Source organism: Homo sapiens, chromosome 4 (assembly GCF_000001405.40).
Source record: "Homo sapiens chromosome 4, GRCh38.p14 Primary Assembly".
Classification (NCBI taxonomy): domain Eukaryota; kingdom Metazoa; phylum Chordata; class Mammalia; order Primates; family Hominidae; genus Homo; species Homo sapiens.
In genome coordinates this window covers 38,530,440-38,545,018 of record NC_000004.12, presented here as the reverse complement: position 1 = coordinate 38,545,018, position 14,579 = coordinate 38,530,440, and positions in this window count along the sequence as shown.

The following is a 14,579-nucleotide window of genomic DNA, read 5'->3' as shown; positions in this document are numbered from 1 at the left end:
GTATAACTGGATTGTTTTTGACACAAAGGATAAATGCTTGAGGGGATGGATACCCCACTTTACATGATGTGATTACAATGCATTGCATGCCTGTATCAAAACATCTCATGCAACCATAAATGTATACACTTACTATGTACCTACAAAAATTAAAATTAAAAATCAAACAAATCAAAAATAAAAAAATAAATTATCCCTGTGGGATGGGCTTTCCCTGAAAAATGAATAGGAACAATTTTCAGAGAGGTTGGAGATGGCCAGATGAGGGGATGTGGGCAAGAACCTGCGAACGTGGAGGAAGCCCAGCGTCTGATAAGCAAGGATGACCAGTGAGCATGTGCTGAAGTGGCAGTGTCTGCGTGGCTCTGGCATCCTGTGCACCTCACATTCATTTAAAACTGTTGGCTGCATTGTGATGTGCCCATATCCCATTACCTCCAGTCTTCAGTGGATTCTGCAACACATGCTTATGTTAGTTGTACTTTGAGGAAAGAGAATTAAAGAAACAACTGGCAGCATGGCATGTTTCAGGTGACCTGGGGTTGGGAGAATAGAACTGCCACAGGAGGTGAGACGCAAGGCAGTTCTGAGAATTCGGTGGAGGTGGGAAATCCGCGAAAGCGTTCACCGGAACAAGCACATGTCCTTGAGAATCCATGAAGATAAAGGGTGACCACGTGCCTTAAGCTGCAATATGTGAAATGAAGGGGTCAGCCAGCTGTAGAATGATATTGAACTTTTATTCTTTTATTTTTATTTTAAAGGTAACACACAAGGTAAAAAAAATTGAGACGTCACGCCTGTAATCCCAGCACTTTGGGAGGCCGAGACGGGCAGATCCCGAGGTCAGGAGATCGAGACCGTCCTGGTTAACACGGTGAAACCTCGTCTCTACTAAAAATACAAAAAAATTAGCTGGGCATGGTGGCGGGCGCCTGTAGTCCCAGCTACTCCGGAGGCTGAGGCAGGAGAATGGCGTGAACCCGGGAGGCGGAGCTTGCAGTGAGCCGAGACTGCGCCACTGCACTCCAGCCTGGGCGACAGAGCGAGACTCCGTCTCATAAAAAAAAAAAAAATTCAGACAATATGAAGAATAGGGAAAGGGAAAAAACATCATGAGTAAATGTATCTTTTTTCTTGAACAAATGAGGACATTATATATTTGGCAGGTTTTTTTCCCTTTAATATTAAGAGGAAGGATGATCCTAGAAGGCTGAAGGGCTTAGGGACGGGGGCAGAGCTGACACTTGGGGTGTCCCTACCTTAACTTGCTTAATCACATTTTATGAATGAAGAAATGCATATGTTCAGGGATGTTAAATACAGACACACCTTGTTTTATTGTGTTGTGCTTTGGTATGCTCCGCACATAGTTTGTTTTTTGCAGATTGAAGGTTTGTGGCCATCCTGCGTGGAGAAAGTCTATAGGCGCCATTTTCCCAACAGTACGTGCTTTCTTCATGTTTCTGTGTCACATTTTGGTAGTTCAAGCAATATCTTAAACTCTTTTATTGTTGTTATATCTGTTGTGGTGATCTGTGGTCTTTGATGTTATTATTATAATTGTTTTGGGGTGCCACCAACCATGCTCATATAAGACAGTGAACTTAGTGAATGAATGTTGTATACTTTGACTGCTCCACAGACTGGTTATTCCCCATCTCCCTCCTTCTCCTCAGGCCTCCCTATTCCCTGAGACACAACAATATTGAAATTAGGCCAATTAATAACTCTACAATGGCCTCTCAGTGTTCAAGTGAAAGGAGGAGTCACACGTCTCTCACTTTAAATCAACAGCTAGAAATGGTTATGTTTGGTGAGGAAGGCACGTTGAAAGTTGAGATAGGTCGAAAGGTAGGCCTCTTGTACCAAACAGTGAAGTTGTGAATGCAAAGGAAAAGTTCTTGAAGGAAATTAAGAGTGCCGCTCCAATGAACACACAAATGATAAAAAAGCAAAACAGCCTTATTGCTGACACGGAGAAAGTCTTAGTGGTCTGGATAGAAGACCAAACCAGCCACAACATGTCCTTAAGCCAAAGCCTAATCCAGAGCAAGGCCCTAACTCTCTTCAATTCTGTGAGGGCTGAGAGAAGCGAGGAAGTGGCAGAAGAAAAGTATGATGACAGTAGAGGTTGGTTCAGGAGGTTTAAGGAAAGAAGCCACCTCCATAACATAAAAGTGCAAGGAGATGCAGCAAATGCTGATGTAGAAGCTGCAGCAAGTTATCCAGATGATCTAATTAAGATCACTGACAAAGGTGGCTAAACAGCAGATTTCCAATGTAGATCAAACAGCCTTCTCTTGGAAGAAGATGACATCTAGGACTTTCATAGTTAAAGTGGAGAAGTCAATGCCTGGCTTGAAAGCTTCTAAGAAGAGGCTGACTCTCTCTCTTGTTAGGGGCTAATGCAGCTGGTGGCTTTAAGTTGATGCCAGTGCTCATTTACCATTCTGAAATTCCTAGAGCCCTTAAGAATTATGCTAAATTTACTCCATACATGAAAAAACAAAGGCTGGATGACAGCACATCTGTTTACAGCACGGTCTACTGAGTATTTCTGTTTTCTTTTGGTTTGGTTTGTGTTTTGAGACGGAGTTCTGCTCTTGTCACCCAGGCTGGAGTGCAATGACACGATCCCGGCTCACTGCCACCTCTGTCTCCCAGGTTCAAGCGATTCTCCTGCCTCAGCCTCCCAAGCAGCTGGGATTACAGGCACCCGCCACCACACCTGGCTAATTTTGTATTTTTAGTAGAGACGGGGTTTTGCCATGTGGCCAGGCTGGTCTCGAACTCCTGACCTCAGGTGATCTGCCCGCCTTGGCCTCCTAAAGTGCTGGGATTACAAGTCTACTGAATATTTTAAGCCCACTGTTGAGACATACTGCTCAAAAAAAAGATTCGCTTCAAAATATTACTGTTCATGGACAATGCCTCTAGTTGCCCAAGAACTCTGATGGAGATACTAGGAGATTAATGCTGTTTTTATGCTTATGGAAACAACAGCTATTCTGCAGCCCATGGATCAAGGAATTTCAACTTTCAAATCTTATTCTTTAAAAATATATTTTGTAAGGCTATAGCTGCCATAAATAGTGACTGCTTTGATGGATCTGGGCAAAGTAAATTAAAAATCTTCTGGAAAGGATTCACCATTCTCAATGCCATTAAGAACATCTGTGATTCATGAGAGGAGGTCAAAATATCACCCTTAACAGGAGTTTGGAATAAGTTGACTTCAACTCTCACGGATGCCTTGGAGGGGTTCAAGACTTCAGTGGAAGAAGTCACTGCAGATGTGGTGGAAATAGCAAGAGAACTAGCATTAGAAGTGGAGCCTGAAGACGAGACTGAATTGCTATAGTCAGATGATAAAACTTGAACGGCTGAGAAGTTGCTTCTTATGGATGAGCAAAGAAACTGCTTTCTTGAGATGGAATCTACACCTGGTGAAGATGTTGTGAACATTGTTGAAATGACAACAAAGGATTTAGAACATTACTTAATTGATAAAGCAGTGAAGGGTTTGAGAGGATTAACTTCGATTTTGAAAGAGGTTCTATTGTGAGTAAAATGCTATCAAACAGCATTGCATGCTACAGAGAAATCATTTGTGAAAGGAAGAGTTGATCAATGTGACAAACTTCATTGTTGTCTTATTTTAACAAATTGCCACAGCCACCTCATCCTTCAGCAGCCACCACCCTGATCAGTCAGCAGCCATCAACAAGCAAGACCCTCCACCAGCAAAAAGATTACAATTTGCTGAAGGTTCACATGATTTGTAGCATTTTTTAGCAATAAAGCATTTTTAATTAAGATATGTACATTTTTTTTGATATAATCATTGCACCTAATAGGGTACAATATAGTGTAAATTTAATTTGTTATGCACTAGGAAACCAAAAAAAAAAAATTGCCTTATTAAGGTGGCCTGGAACCAAAAATGCAATCACTCCAAGGTATGCCTATAATTTGTGCAAGGTCACATGGCTAGAAAGTAGAAGTATCCGAATTTGAACCCAGATATAGCTGGCTCTAAGTCAAAGTTTTCCCCACTTCACTATGCTTAATCCCTTTCTCTGGCATGGGGTGGGGCCTGTCACCCTCTTAAAATTCAAATGTAGTAACTGGGAGGAAGCCATAACAGCAGGCAGGACCTAGCATCAAACATATGGCATAGGAGGTAGGACACAGAACACTTGAACTTTTGTTAGGGGGGGTACATCTTACAAGAAGTTATGGGTGTTCTATTCACAGAGTTGAGAAATCAAGGCAGGCAGACAGGAACAGAGAAATCTATCAGCACATTAGGTCCCCATATACTTGCTTGGGGATATGGGACAGGATACCAGATCCTAATGATAACATTTGGCTAGAGTTGGCCAGGATGTGGGGAGCCTGGTTCCCCCTTCCTTCTGGAAATAGACCCCTCTCACTGTGGAGAATGCATTCCACATGCATCAGTTATCAGAGGGTGCTTATTCTGGCCTTCCTCTCTTAGCTACCTGAGTGGACGTGAAAACTAAATACCGCCAATCAGAGTACACAGCCCTCCTGGCTTTAGTTATCAGTTTCAGTATTTACATGTAAGGGAGTCAGGGACAATTAGAATCCTACCTGGGATTTTTTATTTCCCAAGGGCTATTAGAAAAAAATGTGTACCTTCCACTGTGATTGCTGAGGTGGGGGGATGTGAGTCTGGCATTGCTGGTGGCCATCCTGCCTTCTCTATAGAAAGCCTTTCTTTTTTTTTCTTTTTTCTTTCTTTCTTTTTTTTTTTTTTTGAGACAGCGTCTCATTCTCTTGCCCAGGTTGGGGTGCAGTGGCGCAATCTCGGCTCACTGAAACCTCTGCCTCCTGGGTTCAAGCGATTCTCCTGCCTCAGCCTCCCCAGTAGCTGGGATTACAGGCGGGTGACACCAGGCCCAGCTAATTTTTGTATTTTTTAGTAGAGACGGAGTTTCATGATGTTGGCCAGGCTGGTCACAAACTTCTGACTTCAAGTGATCTGCCCGCCGTGGCCTCCTAAAGTTCTGGGATTACAGGCATGAGCCACCGCAAACGGTCAGAAAGCCTTTCTAAGAGACTAAGAAAGAAAGAGAGAGAAATGGATCCCTGGCGACATGATGCAGCTTCTGAATCTTGCTGTGCTGGACACCAGTGGCACCCCTGGACTTCATAGTTAAGTGAACCAACAGTTCCTATTTTTTTGCTTTGGCTGGTTGGAATTGGGTTTGTATCACTGGCGAATGATGAATACGCTGTCTTCATTCAAATACTGGTGTGACCAGGTCCAGAGAAGGAAAGCAGATGTTCAGCTGTGATATCTGGGACATAGGGTCTGATAGGACCAGAAACGCAGTATTGGAGGTTGAGAACATGAAGTACAGTCAGAGCATAAACCAACCATCCCTATCCTGAACTTGCAGAAGATATTGTTGGTCTATCACACTGTTTTTTCCTCCAGAGTCAGGAGAAGCCATTGCAACCTTGTTCTTCTTAACATAGAGCTTCAGGGAGTCACTGTCATTGATTTGAGGTTGTTTGTACATTTTCCACTCTGGAATTAATACCTAAAGAGTGTGATGCATTTGTCCAGGAAGAGTCAATTTGCTTGGACGTTAACGCAATCTTATGGGAATTTCTTCCTTGTGGATTCTTGCAGATGACTGCATGGTTAGTTTATCAAAACTGCTATGAATGTGAATCATGAGAAATTATTGAGCTTTCTTTTTATATATTTTTATTAATTAATTAATTAATTAATTAATTTTAAGACAGAGTCTCGCTCTGTTGCCCAGGCTGGAGTGCCGTGGCATGATCTTGGCTCACTGCAACCTCCACCTCCCAGGTTCATGCAATTCTCCTGCCTCAGCCTCCCAAGTAGCTGGGATTACAGGCTCCCACCACCATGCCTGGCTAATTTTTGTGTTTTTGGTAGACATGGGGGTTTCATCATGTTGGCCAGGCTGGTCTCAAACTCCTGACCTCAAATGATCCACCCGCCTCTGCCTTTCAAAGTGCTAGGATTAGAGGCGTGAGCCACCGGGCCCGGCCTCTTTTTATGTATTTTAAATATCTACGTGTAACTGTAAATTTGGTTCCTGAACCTACATTCTTCCATTGGTGTCTTTGCATCTCTTAGTTGTTCCAGAGTAATGTTATTTTCATCTGGTTTTGAGCATTGTCAAGCACTCCTGTTTTGGGAGCTGTCTTTGTCATTTACAGAGAAAGCCCAGGAGATCTTGAAGCTGACACAGTGGCATTTCATTTGGCAGGTACAGATTTTCCTCGCGTATGGAACAATGCCTCCTTTTGCTAACCACCTTAATTTCCTGGCCTTATCAATCTGAAAGTCAATGATTATAGTTTATTATGTGGGTTTTCATTTAACCTTTTATGTTTAAGTTCAACCATTTCCCTATAACCAAGCAAGCAAATTTCCTACTCAGGTAATTCAAGTGCAATTGTTAAGAGAATTTGTAACAGAGTTCCATGGGCCTTAGCTGTCAGTCAGAACAGCCTAACATCATTGAAACCTCTACCTATTTTCAAAGCACCTTAAAATCCATTAAATATGACAAAAGAAATGTAAATTGCATTATTGCTGTGGAAAGAGTAGCTGTTTTGTCTTGAGACTTTAGTTGACCCACAAATTAAATTTAAGATGGTTTAGGACAAATATAAAAATCACCCAATGCAATGGTAAGGTTGAAAGTGCCTTCACTTTGGCCAATTACAGTAGTTACTATTATTCATCCTTATCAACATTAATTCTAATAGCTAACATTTATTTAACATTCACTCATTCCACTGTACCAAGTGCTTTGGTTGCATTATTACATTTAATCCTACCATAAGAAATATACACTTTTATTCTATTTTACAAATGAGATACCTGAGATGTGGAGAGCCTGAATAATTTGCCCACTTTTATAACTATTAATTAATTAATGTGCAGCCTGCATTCAAACCTAGATTTGTAGGAGTCCAGAGCCCATGTAGATTAAATGTGACTATAAAGACTCGCCTATATATGCATTGGGATCAGATGCAAGTAACAGAGAACCTCAAACTTGCAGTGGGTTAGTTTATCCATTTCCTTTGTGTTCAAGGGCCTGGAGAGAATCCATCCAGAACTGGTATGACATTCTCCTGGCACTGAATGGTATAAATAGCAGTTTCTGCTGATGTTCTATTTTCAGCTACTTTTGTATATATGTCTGAATACAAGAATTTTATATTTTTGCATCCAATAATATTCTTATCATTGCTTTATAAAATCAACTTAGAACTTCATTAAGATGTTGTGTATTATTGTACATTCAGACATTTCATGAGACAAATTGGAGCCCCAAATCAAACATTATGCAAAACAAAAGCTTGACATTATCATTTGTCTACTGCACAAGGGTCAGTCCTGCCTTTTAATATGAACACAAGAAGGGGCTTCTGCCATTGAGGAATATTCTCACAGCCAGGCTTTTATGTTCTTGGTAATTATTTTCCTACCTCACTGTTTTGACCAGAAACCATGAGAGAAAAACTTTTCTAGCTGCTGACTTCTCTCCTTTATACTGTGCCAAAATCTGAGCTGGAATGCGTATCATTCAATTACAAATGCCAGGTACTGTGCTAGGCGTCTCATTAGTAACACGAATACTAAGATAATTCACTGTTCTTGTTTACTGGTCAAAGGTTTCATATGCCTGTCAACTGCTTTGATTCTCATCTCTGGGAATATACATTTACATAATCACAGAAGTCCTAGAGGAAGGATCGGGTATATTTTTCATTTGACAAAGTATCAAGCTCTCACTATTTTAGGCACTGTTTAGATGTGGAGAGGAGAGATCCAACAAACAACATCTCTCTTTTCACTGCCCAAGTTCAGAATCAATTCACAGATAAAATAAAGGAGGGGGGCAGATGATAAAGGAAAAGCATCTTTATTTCTGATACTGGTTGTGTGAAGGCGTGACTTGGGTGTGGAGCACAGTGGGCTTCCTAATACTGAAGGCTTGAGTTTGGCAAGCCTCTCATTCAGCCTCAGGCAGTGTTAATGACCATAGGTTGGTGTCAGTTTGGGCTGCTATCACAAGGTGCCATAGACTGGGTGGCTTATAAACCACAGAAATTTATTTCTTACAGTTCTGGAGGCTGGAAGTCTGAGATTAGGGTGGCAGCATGGTTGGGGTCTGGTGAGGGCCGTCTTTTGGTTTGCAGGCTTCTTGCTGTATCCTCACATGATAGAAAGAAGGCAAGAGAGCTCTCTGGGGTCCCTTTTATTAGGGCACTAATCCCATTCATGAGGGTTCCACCCTCATGATCTAATCACACCCCAAAGATTCCACCTCCTAATACCATCACATTGGGGGTTAGATTTCAGCATATCAATTTTGGGGGGCACAAACATTCAGTCCATTGCAGGTGGTCAACACGAGGCCTGCCCCGGTAAAACCTGGGGGATGAAGGAACCGAGCAGTGGTTGAAAAGGGAGAAGAGAAGGAGTGAGAGAAATTTCCTAGGGGAAAGCTGAGGCTAAACTGAGGGCTGTGCCTTCCGATGGAAGGAGACCTCAGGAGTGAGCCATCGTGTCCTCCTCCGACCAGTCTCTGCCCCCAAAGAGATCAGACCAGAAACATCAGAGTAAGCTCCCCTTGATCTGCAGAGAAACTCAACTTTTGGTTTTTCCAGCTTTTCCCTTCACCAACCTCCTGCTCCTCTGGTAGAGGCAAAGGCTTCCTTGAGGCTGAAGTCCCCTCTTTTGCCTTCCATATATCATCATGTGACTGTCCCTGCAGTCCAGTCAGATTATCAGAATCTTGGTACCACCGTTCTCCCTGACTGCCTTTCCCTGAGAGGGGGCTGTGGGCATTTTTGGTCTAGGATACTGAGATGTATGGGGATGTTTCTGGGGAGAGTGCCATTCTCAGCCTAAAAGGTAGATCCTTTCTAAAGGACAAAGTTTTTTTGGCCCTGCGCTCTTCTTTCCTCTTCAAGCCTGAGGCGGGGTGGGTGGGGAGGGGAGGATGGGGCCCAGAGGGACATAGTCATCTTGTGATGAGAAGGCAGCTGATACAAGGATGAGAAGGAGGGGCCTCCTGCCAACAACATGAAGCAGAGCTGGAAAGCACTTGGATCCCTGACGACATTGTCCCTGATGATATCATGGAGAGCCCAGACGGGACCTGGACCAGTGTCCCAAAGATCCCCAAAGGGTGTGATCCTTGTGGTGTATCGGAACCTAGGAATATTACATTTTCATTATCAGGTGCTATACTTAATTTTTGAAATATTCTTTTGGAGACAAATATTTTGCTCAACATATTCTGATGTCTAAGGCAAATTAACGTTTTTGTGGTTAAAATTATTTAATTTTCTTTTTCTCAAACATGTATTAATATAGCTTAAAGATCAAATGGAAGTGGCGGATCAATGGGCTAGAAGACTGAGAACAATTTGAAGGACAAACCTGTATATCCAGCACTAACAATTCCTAACCACCCAAGCTAGGAACTCAGGGAGCTTCTAGTTCAGAGGTTCTCAGACTGTGTTACTCAGTGCCTTGGACCTCCCTAGAGGTGATTCTAGGCTGCCCTAGGGGGCTGCAGGGAAGCTGAGTGGATGGGCTCCAGCCCCACCCCTGTTCAACCAGAACACCTCCTCCCCACCTAAATCTCACCTTGAATTGTAATAATCCCCAGGTGTCAAGGGTGGGGCCAGGTGGAGATAACTGAATCATGGGGGTGGTTCCCCCGTACTGTTCTCATGGTAGTGAATAAGCCTCATGAGATCTGATGGTTTTATAAATAGGAGTTCTCCTGCACAAGCTCTCTTGCCTGCAGGCATGTAAGATGTGCCTTTGCTTCTCCTTTGCCTTCCACCATGATTGTGAGGCTTCCCCAGTCATATGGAACTGGGAGTCCATTAAACCTCTTTCCTTTATAAATTACCCAGTCTTGAGTATGTCTTTATTAGCAGCATGAGAACAGACTAATACACACTTGTAACAATTAATTCAGGAGAAAACTATGGGGAAGGTTTATGTTGTCAAATTAAATTCAAAATTTGTTGTTAAGTCAAAATTAAATTTTAAAACCATGTATCTGTTCTAACATCCTTATTTTATAAATAAGGAAGCTGACACCCAGCAAAATTCAAATGATCAAATGATTAAGTGGCAGACTCAACTTAGTTCCCAGTACCTCCCTTCCTGTTCCCACTATATTGTTATTATACCTAACAATGAATGCTCAGTTTTTACAGATAATGAGAGAGGGAGTTTCTGTCAAATGTTCATCTCTGTAAGACTAGATTTCTCTGGAATAGCTCACCATCCAGGAGCCTCACAGTAGACATGCCACAGGGCTTTAAGCCACAGCCACGAGAAAAAGGACATAATACAAATGAAAATTCCAGACATAGATGGACATCAGGTTTGGCTTGATCAGGGTTCTTACTCTGTAAGCTCTGTTCTCTTCTATAGGCTAACTCATACCGGTTTCCCTAGTTGCCTGTAGGGACAAGCATGGGAATCCTGAAATCCTGAAATAATCCTGACCTTTGTTCTGACTGGCATATCTATGAACTGATAACTACAGCAAGCCGTTTTCATTTATAAGGACAACTGTCATGGGTTCTTGTTGCCTGCCTAATATTCTCTTTGTCTTACCTGTGGTTATTCACAGTTTTAAAAGTATCTCTCTAACTGAATTATCTCATGTGATCTAGTGATAAATTTCCTGATTTTTCCCCATCTCTTTTTTCTGGGGAACCATAACCTGAAGTGTTTCTTCCTACCGCTGTGTGATTCTGGAGTTCCATGTTATGCCCCTTCAGTGCTGGCTTAATTTTTGACCTTGTCTGTATTAGTCAGGGTTGCCTAGAGGGACAAAACTAATAGGACAGATGTATGTTTATGAAGGGGAGGTTTATTAAGGAGTACTGACTCACACAATCACAAGGTGAGGTCCCACAATAGGCCATCTGCAAGCTGAGGAGCAAGGAAGCCAGTCTGAGTCCCAAAATCTCAGAAGTAGGGAAGCCAACAGTGCAGCCTTCAGTCTGTGGCCGAAGGCCTGATAGCCCTGGCAAATCACTGGTTGAAGTCCAAGAGTCCAAAAGCTGAAGAAGTTGGAGTCTGATGTTCAAGGGCAGGAAGCATCCAGCACGGGAGAAAGATGGAGGCTGGAAGACTCAGAGAGTCTGTTCATTCCACTTTCTTCTGCCCGCTTTATTCTAGCTACTGGCAGCTACTTGGATGGTGCCCACCCAGATTGCGGTGGGTCTGCCTCTCCCAGTCCACTGACTTCAAATGTTAATCTCCTTTGGTAACGCCCTCACGGACACACGCCGGAACAATACTTTGCATCCTTCAATCCAATCAAGTTGACAGTAGTAACCATCACATTGTCTAACCTGAAAACTTGAGTGGATTTGCTCAAAACTGCATTCACCATCCAAGTGATCTGGAGAGTGGCCTGTTTATCTTTTCTGACGGACGGGGTTGAGTTTATATTGCCTCAGCAGCATTTCTTGGGCATCCTCTCCGTGGAGATGACTGTGATGTGTGAGGCTGAGGTGTAGGGAAATAAGGAAAGCACCAGAGTGAGCTGATGTTGCTCAGGGGAACAAGTAACACCGGATCTCTCTGGCTTCAAACACTGTGTTTGCAGTCCCTCTACATCTTTGGCCAGGAGTGAGGAATTGGGAACAGAGCTGTGGATTATGTCCAGATTCTGAACTTTTGGAACATCCCTGTGCTTTCTATTTTGTCTGGATTAGTAGCAAATCCCTTAAATCAAAATGACCTGTGTCTTTGCTTCCAAAGGACAATACAAAAGGATAAAGTTGGCTTGGGGAAAGGAGACCTAAAACATGACTCAGGGAGGATGAGGAAGCACAGAAAAAGGGCTGAGAGCGGCCCCAGTGGAGGACTTAGAAACAGAAGGCCCGGATTCTCGACAGAGTTCCTGCTCCAGAGGGTATATAATGGGAGAAAAAGAGGGGAAGAGAGACAGATGGAGCCTCTTTGAGGATTTTAAGGAATATTTCAGTCAAAACACTACGCAGTTGGAGTTTCATTTGCAGGAAGTTAAACAAATAAATCAAAAGAAGAAAACCACACAAGCAATTTTTTTATGGGAGTGTATATATATATCTGTACATAATATTGTATTTGCTATAATAGCAAAAGCAAAAAGCATTTTGAATGAGGACAGAGGAATAATAAATAAACCAAAATATCAATACAATTGAAATTTTACGTATCCATTGTAAGAAACACAATGACTCTCTAGAACTGTGTTGGCCAAGTGGCATTGAAATTTGTGTTTGAATGAATTACAATGAAATAAAATAAAAGATTCAGTTCCTCAGTTACGCTAGCCTTATTTCAAGTGCTCAAAAGCAGCATGTGACTACTGTCATAGGTAACGAGCATTTTCATTATCGGAGAAAGTTCTATTGGATGGCCCTGCTCTAGAAAGCTGGGGAAGTGTTTACATGTGGCTGCTGTTCACATGAAGCAAAAAGTAGCATGAAAGGCAGCACATGTACCAACATACAAATTACATACATGCATACATAAAGATTAGTCGAGGCCAGGAAGCATTCAAATTATTTCCACCAGGGAGATCAATGCATCAGGTGGATTTACAAGTTACCTTTTAGCGTAGTCTAGGGTTCAATGACTAATACATAACGTTTTTGAAAACTTTCTTCAGGAAGCCAGTTGTAACTGAGGCTGCTGGGATGGACATCGAGAAGTGGTAGAGGAGGCATCAGGGGATGGAGTAAGGTTCTTGTGCTGGCTTTGTTGTGCTGGCTTTGTGACTAAAATAGCTCTGTGACCTCGTGAAAGTCACACTAACTCTCCTGGCCCCTTTTGTCAGATGATCTCTAAGGTCTCTTTCAATGTAAAGAAATGGGTATGTTTCTCTGTGTTCTTACTCACAGGGAGGGGAACATCACACACCGGGTCCCGTCGGGGGGTGGGGAGCAAGGGGAGGGAGAGCATTAGGACAAATATATAATACATGAGGGACTTAAAACCTAGATGATGGGTTGATGGGTGCAGCAAACCACCATGGCACATGTATACCTATGTAACAAACCTGCACGTTCTGCACATGTGTCCCAGAACTTAAAGTAAAACAATAACAAAAAAAGGTGTGTAGCTCCTCTCACACTCTCTCATGCTCCTTTTCCCACCGTGTGGAGATGCCTCACTCCCTGTTTTCCTTCTGCCATGATTGGAAGCTTCCTGATGCTTTCCCAGAAACAGAAGCCAGAAGCCGCTATGCTTCCTGTATAGTCTACAGAACTGTGAGGCAATTAAACCTCTTTCAGTTATAAATTAAAAAAAAAAAAAAGAGATGGATGTGTTTGTTTTCAAGTGGAGTAGGTTGTTCACAGGAGTTGGCGAGACAGGGGCGGGTTATCAGGTAGCAAGGGTCTGCAGTCTGGTCACAACCATGAATCCCAGGGACAAAGGAACAGAGGTAGAGGGATTCCAAGGACAGAGAAGCTGGTCAGTGACAAGATGGGAAATTTGTATTCCAGACACTTGGGGGCTGTAAGAAAAAGTGCATCTGTTTTTATTAGATGCTAGAAATGGCTTTGAACGGTATCTAAGTGAAACTGCAAACACAGCTGAGAAAATCCCAGCTCTGTCTGGTTCCTCAGAAACTCCACCCCCTCTTTCTCCGGAGGGCTCTCTAGTTACAAATGGCTCACTGAACACCCTCCCACTGGCTTGTTTCTAATACTCTGGAGTAAGACAATTCTTCCATTTGTTCAACTATTTCTCAGATGTCAGATCATAAAATTATACTTCTTGAAAATCACTTATTCTTGAACATTTCCTCTCTGAATTGATTTTACAGTTACAGCATTTTATGTAAATCATTTTACATTTCTTTCTTTCCTTCTTTTTTTAGAGACAGGTCTCTCTCTGTCAACCAGGCTACAGCTGGAGTGTAGTGGCACAATCATACTCACTGCAGCCTCTAACTCCTGGGCTCAAGTGATCCTCCTGCCTCAGCCTCCCAAGTAGCTGGGACTGCAGGCATGCACCACCATGCCCAGCTGCTTTTTAAAATTTTTTGTAGAGAAGGGCCTCTCTATGTTGCCCAGGCTGGACTCAAACTCCTGGCCTCAAGTGAGCCTCCTGCCTTAGCCTCTCCAAGTGCTGAGATTACAGGTGTGAGCCACTGGACCAGGCCTATTTCTTTTAAAAGTTTGAAGATAGATAGTATTTTAAGCCTTTGCCTTCCTTATATATTTTTCTATTAAACGTTGCATGGAGAAATGCTTCTGCTGAATAATCAAAATAATCATCCACCTTTATGATTTTTGATGCATAATAACATAATCTTCACATCTTAGATATGTATCATATATACTATGGTACACTTTCCTATTTATACTTTTCTTATACATTTAAAAAAACTACTGAATATGTACCTGTAAAACCCTTTAGTAATGCAAAGTGTATGTGTGAATTGGTGTACATGGATGTATGTGATCTATACATTCATTAAATAATGAACCACTTACTATACACCATGCCC